Raw genomic sequence first — 18505 nt, 5'->3', positions numbered from 1 at the left:
AGGTCGGTAGGATTTGCAGAGCAATGGTGTTTAAGCCCTCAGGGAAGATCGGAGGAGTTGCTCCCAAGAATTGACTGACCCCTACCTCAAGTCTATAGAGGGAATGGGGTGATTGTCTCAGGTGGCAGGAGGTACAGAGTATAAAGAATGCCTGCTGCCTCTTGCCACCCTCAAGTACTGTAGACAACAGGTAGCACTGCTGTTGGAACATGAATAAGCAATAGCCAACACATGGGTCCACACACATGGCTCAATCTCAGGGTTGGTAGTGGAATTTTTATGGACCAAAGACCTGAACTCATTCTGTGTCCAGTGTGAGTGAAAGTTACACAAATCCTTATGCCAGTATCATTCTATCTGCTTGCTTTCCCATTATCCTACAAAAGAAGAAGCATGCTGGCCAATGAGAGCAATCTCTTAACAGACTTCCCCACTGAAACCTAATGTGGGCCCAGTACAACACCACAGTCTCAAGTCCCAGAGCTCCTCAGGGCTTCTGCCTAACCCCATGTATAGGTTAGAGTCTTGGAAAAGAGAAAGAATGATGGAGCCCAGGTGGTTGCCAGTCCAGGGTTATATACCATTTCTGGGGGGCATAATTGATCAGTCCCAGGCACTAGAGGAGACTTCAAACATTTTGAAGAAGGCGCTCCAAAGAGTGGGGACCACCTGAGGTATTTGCCTACATCTATGGGTAGAACAGATCCTAGGTTTTAGTCCTACTTCACTCCTGACAAGCTGTATGCCTTTGGATAAGTCATTTAATATCTCTGGGTCTCCATTTCATCATCTGTAAGGTAAAGTGATTGACTCAATGATCAGTCATATAGTAAATTGAAAAATCTCAACCTTCTTGGTATGTAGTAATCAAATTGAGTCTCATTTGAATTAGTTAGTTTTGATCTTCAGCCCCTCACCCCTGGGCTGGGTGAAAGTGAGGGCAAGGTTGTCATGAGAACCTGTGGAATAAGCACTCCAGGTACTGGGTTCAGGAGATTCCTTCCCTCCACAGACAAGGCTGTACACAGACAGGGCTTACTTTGGGCATATTATGCCCAAAACCTTCTTGCTCAATTTTAAGGTCAAAGAGAAGTCCCCGGACTTACTTGGAATTCACCTAAAGCAAGAGAATAAAAACTTTAGCCTTAAATTATAAAGCCCCTAGAGAGAGAATGAAATTTAAGTATTCTGGTTTCCATAGGAAACATCATCCCTATGGTGAGGCGGATAATTTGGACTGCATTAGTCTGCTGCCTTAAGTTCAGATAACACACTTTATTTGGTCTCCAGGTTCAGAAGCAACTTTCTGATGAGGATTTGGTCTCTGTAGATCTGCCCTGAGGGCAGACTCTGTGACAGCATATTTCTCATTGTAATTTAACAAATTGGCTTTCTGGTTCTATGCTTTGATCTCAGAGAACTTGGTTAATGTGTGGCAGCCCCTGAGGGACAGTATTACATTAGGAATGCTGACAGATTCCCCTTACAAACCTATTAACCTAAAGCTCCATGCACTATGCCTGAATCATAGTAAATTCATCAAGTTTACATATACCAACAAATGCAGTCTCTCAGAACCAGCTTGCCAGCCTGGTCCAGCAAGCAGTTACCTTCTCTGCATTGCTAGAGGATCCAGCTGTTCTATTTTGGTGCTAATTTATATACTGGCCAGCTACATTTTGATGCTACTAATCTTAGCCCCCAAATGTGTAACTCTCGAGTAAGATATTCCCAAGAAGGATGTAAAAGAGTAATTATCAAAAGAGAAACATCAAATGTTTCTAACCCTTACAACTTTGTGATCCTAGACTCACAAGCGCTAACATTGGAGAGGAGCCATTGCAAGACTCAGGTGGCTGAGAATCTGGTCTTTTTCATGAGCAGAAAGCATGGCCTATGAGCTCTGGCCTATGAATCTTGAGATCTATCTTTGCCATTTAGCTAATGATGCCATCTTGGAGAAATCACTTATCTTCTAGGTCTCATTTTCCTCACTTGTAAAATAAAGAGATGAAGGCAGATGGTCTTATCAGGTATTTATACCAGTAAGATTCTATTAATCTCCATTAAACTCATCAACAGAAGGAAGAAAAAAGGAAATGCACATGCTTGTATTTCTAGGGTATTATTATTATTGGCATTGATATAGTCTTGGACAAAAGGAGCAGTTGCATTGTGTCTTTAAATTTTGTTTTTCTATATGCTTCTGCTGTATGACTTCTTTTTCCCAGTTATGTGGATAAGCTTTAGACAGTCTGAGAGTCTCTTTATTTTGGCTGCTAAGTTTTGAGTGTATGTATGTATGTTTTCTCTGAAGAATGCTGGTAGTTTTATCCCCCTTATCCACAGGGGATATGTTTCTAGACCCCCAGTGGATGCCTAAAACCACAGATAGTACTGAACCCTATATATACCATATTTTTTCCTAGACATACATACTTATGATAAAGTTTAATTTACACATTAAGCATAGTAAGAGATTAGCAACTAATAAAATAAGACAATTATAACAATATGCCAGCATCATTACCCTTGTGCTTTGGAGCCATTATTAAGTAAAATAAGAGTGACTTGAACACAAGCACTGTGATATCACAATAGTCGATCTGATAACTGAGATGGCTGTAAAGTGACTAATGGGTGGGTAGCATGTGTAGAGTGGACATGCTAGACAAAAAGATAATTCATGTCCTAGGCAGAATGAGTCAGAACAGCACAAGATTTTATCATGCTATTCAGAATAGCATGCAATTTAAAACTTATAAATTGTTTATGTCTGGAATTTTCTATAAAATATTTTTGGACCATGGTTCACAACGGGTAAGTGAAATGAGACCATCGATAAGTGGGACTACTGTAATTTATCAAAGGGACCTGCAGACTTCAAAAGGCTTAAAGCCACTGATCTCAGTTCATTTGTGCTGTAATAACAACATAACACAGACTGGGTAATTTATAAAAAACAGAAATTTATTTCTCACAGTTCTAAAGGCTGACAAGTTCAAGGTCAAGGCACTGGCATTCTGTGTCTGGTGAGAGCCTTCTTGCTGCATCCTCTCATGGTAGACAGTGGAAGGATAAAAAGAGCCTAGTTAGTTCCCTCCAGCCCTTTCATGAGGCACTAATCCCATCCATGAGGGTGGAGCCCTTATGGCCTAATCATCTTCTGAAGGCCCCACCTCTTAATACTTTTACATTAGAGATTAAGTTTCAACATAAATTTTGAAAAAGACACAAATATTCAAACCATAGCACCCTGCATATCAAAGTTTATTAAAGGTATGATAGAAACTAATTCCCTGGATTGAATTGCATCGACTTGATGTTCCCATTAATTTTTAAATCTTTAGACACAAATAATTCCAATTAGGAGGCAGCAGTTTTATGCCTAATTGAATCATCTTCCCATCTAGGCATAGAAGAAAACAATTGTCATGATAAGTCTGATATAATTATATTATCATTAATAAGTGTTAAGCCATTATTAAGTTAATTTTTCATTTCACTGAAAGTCTGTATAAAGAAAGCCATCAAATAGAAACGGTCATTTCATGTGAGTTTATAATATTTGTTTTTGAATAGTGAGAAATAAAAGTAACTTAATGAAAGAATTTTCTTTGCAAAAATATTACATTTCACAAAATAATTTCTAAGCAGATGAATTCAAATCAGCTGAGACGTACAGAACAAAGGAACGCAGATCTAAAGAAAAGAAATGATTACAAAATAATTAATCACCCAGTTATTCACTTCCCATAAAATATTTTGCTTCATATGATGAAAATCTCTATTATTTGAAACAAACGTTAGCATAACAGATGACAAATTTTAAAACATCAATTTTATTTCAAGAGACATGAACTGTATCTGTAGTTAAGAAATGAAAATTGATTGGGGATAATTCTGGATCAATGTAAGATTGTAACGTGTTGAATCTGAGTTTCAGAGAAGCATTGTCCATCAAGCATGAATTAATGGAACATTAAATTAGAACAATTAACTTTCTAGTCCACTATTATTTTGGGGCCAAGCATAAGGCCCTAGGATTCAGATTATTGAACTTGCTATTCATATCATATTCATATAAAGGCAAGACATTTCTTTACAATAATTTTAGTCAAGCAACAGATCTTAACAGCACTAATTTCATCAATATAATAAAAAATGTCTAACATCTATTGTACTAATTGACAAAACATTTTTAATCAGAGTTTTAAAAATTAGATAAAATACTTGAAGTAGCTGCCTCTGGTATGTGGCCTTTTCAATATATGTTAGCTGACCTCCCTTTGTTACCCAGTGTAATGCCTTCATGACTTAGCTGAATTTCTGCCCTGCCTTAACTCTGCTTCTCTGCTTATCTTTAAGAAACAGGAGGCCTGCCATCAGAAGATACCCCTCATAATTAAACCAGCTGAAGCTCATGGGGGAATCCAAGATGGCAGCTCATTTGACCTTTGAAGAACTTCAAAATTAATTATAATCTAATTTCCATGTTAAATGACACTCTCAGCAGTGCCATGACAGTTAACAATCACCATGACAATGATTGGAAGAAACCATAAAGGGACAAAAAGGAAGGTGACACACCAGTTCTGAGAAGTTCTCCATTCATTCCAAGAAAAGATATGAATATTCCTCCCCTTGCTCTCAATGCCCAATTCTTTTCTTAAATATGCCCTATATCTGTGGCTTCCAAGCTCTTACAAGTTGAATGGTTGATTTGTGAGCCACACTCCCACTTCTCAATTCTATGGTCATCAAATAAAAGCCTGTACTGCTTGACACTCACTTTCAGTTTTGCTTATCAGCGTTGTGGCAAAGAACAGAAAAGAACCCATCTTTTGGGTGAATAGATTTGTCAATAACATTCTCAGAGAATATGTCTAACTGGGGCAACTAAACACCTCTATGATGCAAGTTAAAACCAACTGATAAACACATAAATCACATTGTCTAAACTGAATATTTAAAAGCAAATTACAAAAAAATTGGTGGATAGGAGGCAGAGCTAACTTGCAGCTTCCACTCAGACACACAGAGGAGTATGTGGAGGCCCACATCATGAACTTTTGCTCCAAGAACTATGGAAGAACATACCAGGAAAGCCAAAAGAACACAGAGACCCTTTGAAGGGAAGCAGCTTGCTTTTCAGTGAGACAGCCAAAAAACTGAGTGCCTAAAGTGTGAGAGGGGAAACCTTTGCCTCCAAACACACATCCTCACTGGGGAAACTGAAAGCCCAGATCATGGGAGAAGAATCTGAGCTTATGTGGAGCTGAGACAACTTTAGAGAGCTGACCAAAATATAGAGATAGAGGAAGCGGCAGGAAGAGCCCTGTGAGCACTCTTCTGTCCTCAGGAAAGCCATTCCTAACTTTGTTTTGCAGGGGTCTGTGGGGAAGGCTGCCAGTGGAACCAGGGAAAGACCACAGGGAGAATGGAACTTACAGCTGAACTTGGTAACAATTTCCACCACATGCTAAGTATCCTGGACAGAATCTGGGGGAGGAGTGAACAGAGAGTGCAGATATTGGCACAGAAACCACAGCAGGTGGGGAGGCACAAACTCTGAAAGCCCTGCTTGCTTTCTCAGTGGTGAGGCTCTGGGGCAAGTTCTCAGCCCTGCTCATCTACTGCCTGGAAATAAACTTGGTGCTGTTGTGGGGACATGGTGGGAGTGAGACTGGCCTTTCAGGCTAACTGGGAGCTGGGTGAGACCTGTCACTGCTGGCTTTCCCCCACTTCCCTGGTGACCGGTATGATGCCTCTGATCTCAGTTCATTTGTGCCGTGATAACAAAATAACACAGACTGGATAATTTATAAAGAACAGAAACAAAGAACATAACTCCATCAGCCTGAGAATCACACCCCCATCTCCCACAGCAGCTGCAGCAAGCCTCACCCAGGGAGAATCTGAGCTCAGACATGCTTAACCCTGCCTCACCCAATAGTCTTTCTCTACCCACCTTGGTAGCTAAAGACAAAGGACATATCTCTTGGGAGTTCTACATTCCTGCTCACTCCTTGAGAAACCCAAATACTTATCCAGGCAACCCTAGGATAAGCTTGTATCCTCCCTATAATACCACAGCTGATGTTCTTTTGAAAGTGCCACCTACTGGCTAGAGGCCAACCAACAAAAAACCAGTGCACTAAACAAAACTACAACCAAAGACCCTCACAGAGTCCACTCCCCTGCTACCTCCATCAGAGCAGGTGCTGGTATTCATGGCTGAGAGACCTGAAGATGGATCATATCACAGGACTCTCTGAAGACACTCCCCAGTACCATCCTGGAGCCTGGTAACTCCACTGGGTGGCTAGACCCAGAACAGAAATATCAATCACTGCAGTCTGTCTCTCAGGAAGCCCCATACCTAGGGGAAGGTGAAGAGCACTACATCAAAGGAGCACCCTATGGGATAAAAGAATCTGAACAACAGCCCTTGAGCCCCAAATCTTCCCTCTGACATAGTCTACCCAAATGAGAAGAAACCAGAAAAACAATTCTGGTAATATAGAGATGAAGCCAGCTGGGCTTCTGGGTTGGGTGGAGACTTGGAGAACTTTTCTGTCTAGCTAAAGGATTGTAAACACACCAGTTGGCACTCTGTGTCTAGCTAAAAGTTTGTAAACACACCAATCAGCACTCTGTAAAAATGCACCAATCAGCACTCTGTGTCTAGCTAAAGATTTGTAAATGCACCAATCAGCACTCTGTAAAATGGACCAATCAGTGCTCTGTAAAATGGACCAATCAGCAGGATGTGGGTGGGGCCTAATAAGGAAATAAAAGCTGGCCACCTGAGCCAGCAGCAGCAACTCTCTCGGGTCCCCTTCCATGCTGTGGAAGCTTTGTTCTTTTGCTCTTCACAATAAATCTTGCTGCTGCTCACTCTTTAGGTCCTCACTACCTTTATGAGCTGTAACACTCACTGTGAAGGTCTGCAGCTTCACTCCTGAAGTCAGTGAGATCACAAACCCATTGGGAGGAATGAAAAACTCTGGATGTGCTACCTTTAAGAGCTGTAACACTCACTGCAAAGGTCTGCGGCCTCACTCCAGAAGTCAGTGAGACCATGAACCCACTAGGAGCAAGAAACTCTGGAGACATCTGAACATTTGAAGGAAGGAACTCCGGACACACCATCTTTAAGAACTGTAATACTCACTGTGAGGGTCTGAGGCTTCATTCTTGAAGTCAGCAAGACCAAGAACCCACCAGAAGGAACCAATTCCGGACACATTTTGGCAACCCAGATGGGACAATCACCAAGTGGTGAGTACCATCAGACCCCTTTTGCTTGCTATTCTGTCCTATTTTTCCTTAGAATTCGGGGGCTAAATACCAGGAACCTGTTGGCCAGTGTAAAGTGACTAGTGCGGCCGTTGGGTGTCAGGCTTCCTGGGAAAGGGCTCTCTAACAACCCCCGACTTTACAGAGTTAGGAGTGTTGGTTTGCCTGGAACCAGCTTCCAGTTTTCCTGTACTTCTGGGCTGAACCAAGCATTGACAGAGAGGAAAGCCATTCAGCTCTGGGGTCCCGACAACAAGTTGGTTGATCCTGCAGCCATGAATGGAACTCTCAAAAACAGGTTGCCCAAGCGAGACTTGCCCATCTATCCTATCTATCCTGACCCTTGCCTCCTGGGTTCTAATGCCTGTCAGACAAACTTCCTCTCGCCTCTCTTCTCCGAGGCTAGTCCTGCTTCTAAAAACCACTCCCTGTCTCTGGTGCTTTTCTAGTTTCTCCTGTAAGAATGATTTCTAGTATAAACTTCAGGACTCTGTTACCTTCTTTAGGCACCTGGGCTCACCAATCAGAAAGACATAATTTTTGCCCAAAGCCCCATTGGGGTGGGGGACTATCTGGAATTTTAGGATCCCTCCTCAGACAAGCAGGCCTAACAAAAGCTATTCCTGAAACTAGGATATGGAGAGCCTCAGAAATGATATCCTCCACATAAGTGAGGACAAAAGGCATCACTCTTCCAACTCTGGAGATCCCTTCCCTCCCTCAGAGTATGGCCCTCCACTTCATTTTTGGGGCATAACATCTTTATAGGACAGTGGTAAAGTCCCAGTGCTAACAGGACAATGCTTAGGACTCTAACAGGTATTTGAGAATGCACCAATAAGGGCTACTAATCTGACATTCCTCGGTCCTCCTTGTGGTCTAGGAGCAAAATTAGTTTTTCTGCTGCTGCATCGATGAGTGCAACTATTCTGATCAGTAGGGCCCAGGGACTGTTGTGGGTTCTTGGGCAAGAGGTGTTTCTGCTGCTGCATCAGTGAGCACAACTATTCTGATCAGCAGGGTCCAGGGACCATTACAGGTTCTTGGGCAGGGGGAGAAAAAAACAAACCAAAACTGTGGGCAGTTTTATCTTTCAGATAGGAAACACTCAGGCATCAACAGACTCACCCTTGAAATGCATCCTAAGCCACTGCAACCAATTTGACCTGCAAACCTTGAAAAAGAGGCAGTTCATTTTTTTCTGCACTATGGCTTGGCCCAATATTCTCTCTCTGATGGGGAAAAATGGCCACCTGAGAGAAGTATAAATTACAATACTATCTTGCAGCTTCACCTTTTCTGTAAGGGGGAAGGCAAATGGAATGAAATACCTTAAGTCCAAGCTTTCTTTTCATTGAGGGAGAATCCACAACTATGCAAAGCTTACAATTTACATCCCACAGGAGGACCTCTCAGCTTACCCCCATATCCTAGCCTCCCTATAGCTCTCCTTCCTATTAATGATAAGCCTCCTCTAATCTCCCGTGCCCAGAAGGAAACAAGAAAAGAAATCTCCAAAGGACCACAAAAACCCACAGGCTATCTTTTATGTCCCCTTCAAGCTGTAGGGGGAGGGGAATTTGGCCCAACCCGGGTACATGTCCCCTTCTCCCTCTCTGATTTAAAGCAGATCAAGGCAGACCTGGGGAAGTTTTCAGATGATCCTGATAGGTACATAGATGTTCCACAGGGTCTAGGGGAAACCTTCAATCTCACTTGGAGAGATGTCATGCTATTGTTAGATCAAACCCTGACCTTTAATGAGAAGAATGTGGCTTTAGCTGCAGCCTGAGGGTTTGGAGATACCTGGTATCTTAGTCAAGTAAATGATAGAATGACAGCTGAAGAAAGGGACAAATTCCCTAACTATCAGCAAGCCATCCCCAGTATGGATCCCCACTGGGACCTTGACTCAGATCATGGGGACTAGAGTCATGAACATCTGTTGACCTGTGTTCTAGAAGGACTAAGGAGAATTAGGAAAAGCCCATGAATTATTCAATGATGTCCACCATAACTCAGGGAAAGGAAGAAAATACTTCTGCCTTCCTCGAGCCGCTACGGGAGGCCTTAAGAAAATATACTCTCCTGTCACCTGACTCACTGGAGGGCCAGTTGATCCTAAAAGATAAGTTTATTACCCAATCAGCCACAGATATCAGGAGAAAGCCCCAAAAGTGAGCCCTGGGCCCTGAACAAAATCTAGAGGCATTATTAAACCTGGCAACCTCAGTATTCTATAATAGGGACCAAGAGGAACAGGCCCAATGAAAAGCAAGATCAGAGAAAGGCTGCAGCCTTAGTCATGGCCCTCAGACAAACAAACCTGGGTAGCTCAGAGAGGACAGAAAATGGAGCAGGCCAATCACCTGGTAGGGCTTGTTATCAGTGAGATTTACAAGGACACTTTAAAAAAGATTGTCCAATGAGAAACAAGCTGCCCACTTGTCCATGTCTGCTCTACCGAGGCAATCACTGGAAGGCACACTGCCCCAGAGTTCAATGGTTCTCTCGGCTGGAAACCCCCAATGAGATGATCCAACAACAGGACTGAGGGTGTCCAGGGCAAGCGCCAGCTCATGTCATCACCCTCACTGAGCCCTGGCTATGCTTAACCATTGAGGGCCAGGAAATTGACTTCCTCCTGGACACTGGTGCAGCCTTCTCAGTGTTAATCTCCTGTCCTGGACGACTGTCATCAAGGTCTGTTACCATCCGAGGAATGCTGGGACAGCCTGTAACCAGGTATTTCTCCCACCTCCTCAGTTGTAATTGGGAGACTTTGCTCTTTTCACATGCCTTTCTTATTATGCCTGAAAGTCCCACACCCTTATTAGGGAGGGATATATTAGCCAAAGGTGGAGCTATTATTTACACGAATATGGGGAACAAGTTACCCATTTGTTGTCCCCTACTTGAGGAGGGAATCAACACTGAAGTCTGGGCATTGGAAGGACAATTTGGAAGGGAAAAAACTGCCCAGCCAGTCCAAATCATGCTAAAAGATCCCACCACTTTTCCTTATCAAAGGCAATATCCCTTAAGGCCTGAAGCTCATAAAGGATTACAAGATATTGTTAAACATTTAAAAGCTCAAAGCTTAGTAAGGAAATGCAGCAGTCCCTGCAACACCCCAATTCTAGGAGTCCAAAACTGAGCGGTCAGTGGAGACTAGTGCAAGATCTTAGACTCATCAATGAGGCAGTAATTCCTCTATATCTAGTTGTACCCAACCCCTATACCCTGCTCTCTCAAATACCAGAGGAAGCAGAATGGTTCACTGTTCTGGGCCTCAAGGATGCCTTCTTCTATATTCCCCTGCACTCTGACTCCCAGTTTCTCTTTGCCTTTGAGGATCCCACAGACCACATGTCCCAACTTACATGGATGGTCTTGCCCCAAGGGTTTAGGGATAGCCCTCATCTGTTTGGTCAGGCACTGGCCCAAGATCTAGGCCACTTCTCAAGTCCAGGTACTCTGGTCCTTCAGTATGTGGATGATTTACTTTTGGCTACCAGTTTGGAAGCCTCATGCCAGCAGGCTACTCTGGATCTCTTGAACTTTATAGCTAATCAAGAGTACAAGGTGTCTAAGTTGAAGGCCCAGCTTTGCCTACAGCAGGTCAAATATCTAGGCCTAATCTTAGCCAGAGGGACCAGGGCCCTCAGCAAGGAATGAATACAGCCTATCCTGGCTTATCCTCACCCTAAGACATTAAAACAGTTGCGGGCATTCCTTGGAATCACTGGCTTTTGCCGACTATGGATCCCTGGATACAGTGCGATAGGCAGGCCCCTCTATACTCTAATCAAGGAGACCCAGAGGGCAAATACTCATCTAGTAGAATGGGAACCAGGGGTGGGAACAGCCTTCAAAACCTTAAAGCAGGCCCTAGTACAGGCTCCAGCTTTAAGCCTCCCAACAGGACAAAACTTCTCTTTATACATTACAGAGAGAGCAGGGATAGCTCTTGGAGTACTTACCCAGACTCGTGGGACAACCCCACAACCAGTGGCATACCTAAATAAGGAAAATGATGTAGTAGCAAAAGGCTGGCCTCACTGTTTAAGGGTAGTTTTGGTTGTGGCCTTCTTAGTGTCAGAGGCTATCAAAATAATACAAGGAAAGGATCTCACTGTCTGGACTACTCATGATGTAAATGGCATATTAGGTGCCAAAGGAAGTTTATGGCTATCAGACAACCACCTACTTAGATACCAGGCACTACTCCTTGAGAGACTGTTGCTTAAATACATACATGCATGGCCATCCACCCTGCCACTTTTCTTTCAGAGGATGGGGAATCAATCGAGCATGACTGCCAACAAATTATAGTCCAGACTTATACTTCCTGAGATGATCTTTTAGAAGTCCCCTTAGCTAATCCAGACCTTAACTTATATACCGATGGAAGTTCATTTGTGGAGAATTGGATATTGAAGGGCAGGTTATGCCATAGTTAGTGATGTAACCGTACGTGAAAGTAAGCCTCTTCCCCCAGGGACCAGTGCCCAGTTAGCAGAACTAGGGGCACTTACCCAAGCCTTAGAACAGTGAAAGAGAAAAAGATTAAATGGGAAAGGGAAAAAGAATAAATGTGTATACAGATAGCAAGTAGGCTTATCTAATCCTACATGCCATGCTGCAATATGGAAAGAAAGGGAGTTCCTAACCTCTGGGGTAACCCCCATTAGATACCACAGGAAATTATGGAGTTATTGCACACAGTGCAAAAACCCAAGGAGGTGGCAGTCTTACCCTGACAAAGCCATCAGAAAGGTGAAGGAGAAAATGCAGAAGGAATCTGTCAGGCAGATGCTGAGGCCGAAATTGCTGCCAGGCAGAATCTCCCATTAGAAATACCTGCAGAAGGACTGTTGGTATGGAACAACCCCCTCCAAGAGATTAAGCCCCAGTATTCCCTGACTGAAACAGAATAGGGAGTTTCACAGGGGCATAGTTTTCTCCCCTTGGGGTGGTTAAGGACAGAAGAAGGAAAGGTACTTATACCCAAAACCAGCCAGTGGAAAATACTTAAAACCCTCTACCAAACTTTTCATATGGGTATTGAAAACACTCATCATATGGCCAAATCCCTATTTACAGGGCCAAATGTCCTCCAGATCATCTGACAGGTAGTCAAAGCCTGTGAGGTGTGCCAAAGGAATAATCGCTTGGTCCATCATAAGGCCCCTTTGGGGGAACAAAGAATAGGTCACTATCCTGGAGAGGACCTATGCCTAAGTCAAAGGGATTTCAATACTTGTTGGTCTTTGTTTGTACCTTTGCAAATTGGATAGAAGCTTTCCCCTGCAAGACAGAGAAGGCTCAGGAACTGACTAAGTCCTAATTCATGAAATAATTCCTAGATTTGGGCTTCCCCAAAGCTTATAGAGTGACAATGGTCCAGCTTTTAAAGCCACAATAACTCAGGGAATTTCCAGGGCATTAGGGATACAATATCATCTTCACTGCGCCTGGAGGCCACAATCCTCAGGGAATGTCAAGAAGGCAAATGAAACACTCAAGAGGCACCTAAGGAAATTAACACAAGAAACTCATCTCCCATGGCCTACTCTCTTGCCTGTGGCCTTACTAAGAATCTGAAATTCTCCTCACAAAATAGGGCCCAGTCCATATGAAATGCTGTACGAATGACCTTTTCTCACAAATGACCTCCTACTTGATCATGAAATGGCCAACTTGGTCAAAGATATAACTTCTTTGGCAAAATATCAAGAAAACCTTAAAAACCTACCTGAAGGATGTCATAGAGAAAAGGGAACAGAGTTGTTTCAACCAGGAGATCTAGTGTTGGTCAAATCTCTCCCTTCTACCTCCCCATCTATGGACTCTTTGTGGTAAGGACCATACTCGGTAATCCTCTCTACTCCCACTGCAGTTAAGGTGGCAGGAGTGGAATCTTGGATTTACCACATCCAATATAAATTTTGGACACCCCCTGAGGAACCTGTGGGACTGTCAGCTCAGGAGTCCCAAGATCAGCCAGACCAGCCTCGATACACCTGTGAACTGTTGGAGGACTTGCATCTCCTATTTCAGAAGGAAACATCCCAGACTAAAAAGGCTCCTACCACTGATCCTGAAGAAAAACTCCTTCCTCCTTAAAAAAGATAAGTGAAAACCTATATAATCTTTATCTTTAACACCTCTCCTTGCCCCTTTAATGGAATTCTTTTACTATTTCATCATATTGTTAAGTAGTATACTAACCATACCCTTTGCAATAGGACTATATACAGTAAGTAGCTCCTGCTGGGATGAAAATCCAAATCACATCAACCTTCTTTCTATATTCCTTCCTTCTGACAGCGATTTACTTCTACCTTTAACTCAGACTGGATAAGATGATCTCATCTTCCAGAGCACCCTCTTTACCTTCCTATTTACTCTTTGCCTATCTATCCCTGCTGCTTCCTTGGATATCTCATACAATCACCCCTCCCCTTCCACTAGCTCCTAATTACCTCTACAAGACTCTCAACTTAACCCACTCTCTGTTAAACCAGTCCAATCCTTCCCTGGCAAATTGCTGTTGGCTTTGTATCTCTCTATCAACTTCTGCTTATGTTGCCACTCCCATTCCCGCAAAAAAATTGGGTTTTTACCAACTTAACCTACCACCCTCATTATGAAGGAAAAGACCCTTTCTGACTTCTAAATATGCAATCATTAGCTGACTTCCCCATCTCTGATAGGACCAAGAGTACCCTAACAGGACGTGCATTCCAACTTTTACGTTCTTACATTTCCAACCTCACCTATTACACAAGCAATGAAAAGCCCATACATGGCCCTATAACTATGAGTACCATCCTAATTTTCCAAGCCCCTTTATGCATCCAACACAACCTATTATCAGGCCTGCCCCTGGGGCACCTACTACCCCATCAGTGTAATATCACCCTACAACTTCAAGTCCCAACTGATCATAGGAACTTCCGAGTCACCCAAACAATTCCATTCAGATGGCTTGTCTGATTCTCAGGGCCCCCCAAAATCATCAACTCCTCCCTGCTTAACAAACAGTCCAGGTTTTGTAATGGCAAACATACTCCCTGTATGACCATTCACCCCTGGACATCCTACAGAAGTGCCCCCACCACTAGTGAATGCCTTCTCATCCCCTCTTTCAATCACACTCTCGAATGGTTCCTAGTAGGTATGAAATGGTTTTTTCTCCAATAGGAAAATAGAATATAGGTAGCCACTCAGTTTGCTCCCAACACCCCTTTCCAGCCATTCACTGGAGCTACCTTTGCAAATACTCTAGGAGTATGGGAAAATGAAAACAACAAACTCACACATCTTTTTAACAAAAATAACCAGTTCTGTCTACCCAGAGAAGTATATTCTTCTTATGTGGATCATCGATGTATATCTGCCTCCGCACTAACTGGAAAGGCACCTGCACCTTAGTCTTTCTAAGTCCCAACATTAACATTTCCCCCAGGAAATCAGACCCTATCAGTACCCCTCAAAGCCCAAGTCTGTCAGTGCAGAGCCATACAACGAATACCCCTACTTATAGGGTTAAGAATGGCTACTGCTACAGGAACTGGAATAGCCAGTTTATCTACTTCATTATCCTACTACCACACACACTCAAAGTATTTCTCAGACAGTTTGCAAGAAATAACGAAAGCTATCCTTACTCTACAATCCCAAATAGACTCTTTGGCAGCAGCGACTCTCCAAAACCACTGAGGCCTAGACCTCCTCACTGCTGAGAAAGGAGGACTCTGCACCTTCTTAGGGGAAAGTGTTGTTTTTACACTAACCAGTCAGGGATAGTACGAGATGCTGCCTGGTGTTTACAGGAAAAGGCTTCTGAAATCAGACAATGACTTTCAAACTCTTATACCAACCTCTAGAGTTGGGCAACATGGCTTCTTCCCTTTCTAGGTCCTGTGGCAGCCATTTTGTTATTACTCGCCTTCAGGCCATTTTTAACCTCCTTGTCAAATTTGTTTCCTCTAGGATCAAGGCCATCAAGCTACAGATGGTCTTACAAATGGAAACCCAAATGAGCTCAACTAACAACTTCTACTGAGGACCTCTGGACTAACCAGCTGGCCCTTTCACTGGCCTAAAGTGTTCCCCTCTTGAGGACACTACAACTGCAAGGCCCTTTCTTTGCCTCTATCCAGCAGGAAGTAGCTAGAGTGGTCATCACCCAATTCCCAACAGCATTTGGGGTGTCCTGTTTAGAGGGGAGATTAAGAGATGAAGCTGGCTGGGCTTCTGGGTGAGGTGGGGACTTGGAGAACGTTTCTGTCTAGCTAAAGGATTGTATACACACCAATCAGTGCTCTGTGTCTAGCTAAATGTTTGTAAACGCACCAATCAGCATGCTGTAAAAACGCACCAATCAGCACTCTGTGTCTAGCTAAAGGTTTGTAAACGCACCAATTAGCACTCTGTAAAAACGGACGAATCAGCACTTTGTAAAATGGACCAATCAGCAGGATGTGGGCGGGGCCAAATAAGGGAATAAAAGCTGGCCACCCAAGCCAGCAGCGGCAACCCACTTGGGTCCCCTTCCAAGCTGTGGAAGGTTTGTTCTCTTGCTCTTTGCAATAAATCTTGCTGCTGCTCACTCTTTGGGTCCACACTACCTTTATGAGCTGTAACACACACTGCAAAGGTCTGCAGCTTCACTCCTGAAGTCAGCAAGACCACGAACCCACCAAGAGGAACAAACAACTCCAGATGCGCCAACTTTAAGAGCTGTAACACTCACTGCGAAGGTCTGCAGCTCCACTCCTGAAGTCAGTGAGACCATGCACCCACCAGGAGGAACAAACAACTCTGGATGTGCCATCTTTAAGAGCTGTAACACTCACTGCAAAGGTCTGCAGCTTCACTCCTGAAGTCAGCAAGACCATGAACCCACGAGAAGAAAGAAACTCTGGACAAATCTGAACATCTGAAGGAATAAACTCTGGATACACCATCTTTAAGAACTGTAACACTCACTGCAAGGGTCTGTGGCTTCATTCTTGAAGTCGGTGAGACAAAGAACCCACCAGAAAGAACCAATTCCAGACACAATATGACAAAACATGACTCTTTACCACTCCCCCAAAATCACAGTAGCTCACCAGTAATAGATCCAAACCAAGAAGAATTCTCTGAATTGCCAGAAAAAGAATGCAAAAGGTTGATTATTAAGCTACTCAAGGAGGCACCAGAGAAAGACAAATAACAACTTAAAGAAATTAAAAAAAAAGAAGATACAGGATATAGATGGAAAAATCTCCAGAGAAATAGATAGCATAAATAAAAAACAATCACAACTTCTAAAAATGAAGGACACACTTAGAGAAATGCAAAATACAATGGAAAGTCTTAGAAATAGAATCAAACAAGTAGAAGAAAGAACTTCAGAGCTAGAAGACAAGCTTTTGCATTAATGCTATCTGACAAAGAGAAACAATTAAAAAATTTTAAAAAAATGAGCAAAGCCTCAAAAAAGTTTGGGATTATGTTAAACAACAAGACCTAAGAATAGGGGGAGGAGCCAAGTGGCCGAATAGGAACAGCTCCAGTCTACAGCTCCCAGCATGAGCGACGCAGAAGACAGGTGATTTCTGCATTTCCATCGGAGGTACTGGGTTCATCTCACTAGGGAGTGCCAGACAGTGGGCGCAGGTCAGTGGGTGCACGCACCATGTGCGAGCCGAAGCAGGGCAAGGCATTGCCTCACTTGGGAAGTGCAAGGGGTCAGGGAGTTCCCTTTCTGAGTCAAAGAAAGGGGTGACAGACGGCACCTGGAAAATCGGGTCACTCCCACCCGAATACTGCACTTTTCCGACGGGCTTTAAAAACGGTGCACCACGAGATTATATCCCGCACCTGGCTCCGAGGGTCCTATGCCCACGGAGTCTCGCTGATTGCTAGCACAGCAGTCTGAGATCAAACTGCAAGGCGGCAGCGAGGCTGGGGGAGGGGCGCCCACCATTGCCCAGGCTTGATTAGGTAAACAAGGCAGCCTGGATGCTCGAACTGGGTGGAGACCACCACAGCTCAAGAAGGCCTGCCTGCCTCTGTAGGCTCCACCTCTGGGGGCAGGGCACAGACAAACAAAAAGACAGCAGTAACCTCTGCAGACTTAAATGTCGCTGTCTGACAGCCTTGAAGAGAGCAGTGGTTCTCCCAGCATGCAGCTGGAGATCTGAGAATGGGCAGACTGCCTCCTCAAGTGGGTCTCTGACCCCTGACCCCTAAGCAGCCTAACTGGGAGACATCCACCAGAAGGGGCACACTGACACCTCACATGGCAGGGTACTCCAACAGACCTGCAGCTGAGGGTCCTCTCTGTTAGAAGGAAAACTAACAAACACAAAGGACATCCACACCAAAAACCCATCTGTACATCACGATCATCAAAGACCAAAAGTAGATAAAACCACAAAGATGGGGAAAAACCAAAACAGAAAAACTGGAAACTCTAAAAAGCAGAGCACCTCTCCTCCTCCAAAGGAACGCAGTTCCTCACCAGCAACGGAACAAAGCTGGATGGAGAATGACTTTGACGAGCTGAGAGAAGAAGGCTTCAGATGATCAAATTACTCTGAGCTATGGGAGGACATTCAAACCAAAGGCAAAGAAGTTGAAAACTTTGAAAAAAATTTAGGAGAATGTATAACTAGAATAACCAATACAGAGAAGTGCTTAAAGGAGCTGATGGAGCTGAAAACCAAGCCTCGAGAACTACGTGAAGAATGCAGAAGCCTCAGGAGCTGATGCAATCAACTGGAAGAAAGGGTGTCAGCAATGGAAGATGAAATGAATGAAATGAAGCGAGAAGGGAAGTTTAGAGAAAAAAGAATAAAAAGAAATGAGCAAAGCCTCCAAGAGATATGGGACTATGTGAAAAGACCAAATCTACGTCTGATTGGTGTACCTGAAAGTGATGGGGAGAATGGAACCAAGTTGGAAAACACTCTGCAGGATATTATCCAGGAGAACTTCCCCAATCTAGCAAGGCAGGCCAACATTCAGATTCAGGAAATACAGAGAACGCCACAAAGATACTCCTCGAGAAGAGCAACTCCAAGACACATAATTGACAGATTCACCAAAGTTGAAATGAAGGAAAAAATATTAAGGGCAGCCAGAGAGAAAGGTCGGGTTACCCTCAAAGGGAAGCCCATCAGACTAACAGCTGATCTCTTGG

General features: G+C 43.6%; 2 annotated features.

Moving 5' to 3' along the window:
* Positions 4250-4544: an enhancer, noted in NCBI's record as "tiled region #4618; K562 Activating DNase matched - State 5:Enh". NCBI's record gives its function as "activates a minimal TATA promoter and a strong SV40 promoter by Sharpr-MPRA in K562 cells {active_cell/tissue: K562}" and the evidence as "EXISTENCE:reporter gene assay evidence [ECO:0000049][PMID:27701403]".
* Positions 17153-17676: an enhancer, noted in NCBI's record as "H3K27ac-H3K4me1 hESC enhancer chr6:87380117-87380640 (GRCh37/hg19 assembly coordinates)". NCBI's record gives its function as "activates a minimal SCP1, AML or CMV promoter by ChIP-STARR-seq in naive H9 embryonic stem cells {active_cell/tissue: H9 hESC(naive)}" and the evidence as "EXISTENCE:reporter gene assay evidence [ECO:0000049][PMID:30033119]".

The sequence above is a fragment of the Homo sapiens genome, chromosome 6, assembly GCF_000001405.40.
Source record: "Homo sapiens chromosome 6, GRCh38.p14 Primary Assembly".
NCBI lineage: Eukaryota > Metazoa > Chordata > Mammalia > Primates > Hominidae > Homo > Homo sapiens.
The sequence above is the reverse complement of the archived record's forward strand: the minus strand, read 5'-3'. Positions and strand labels throughout refer to the sequence as shown.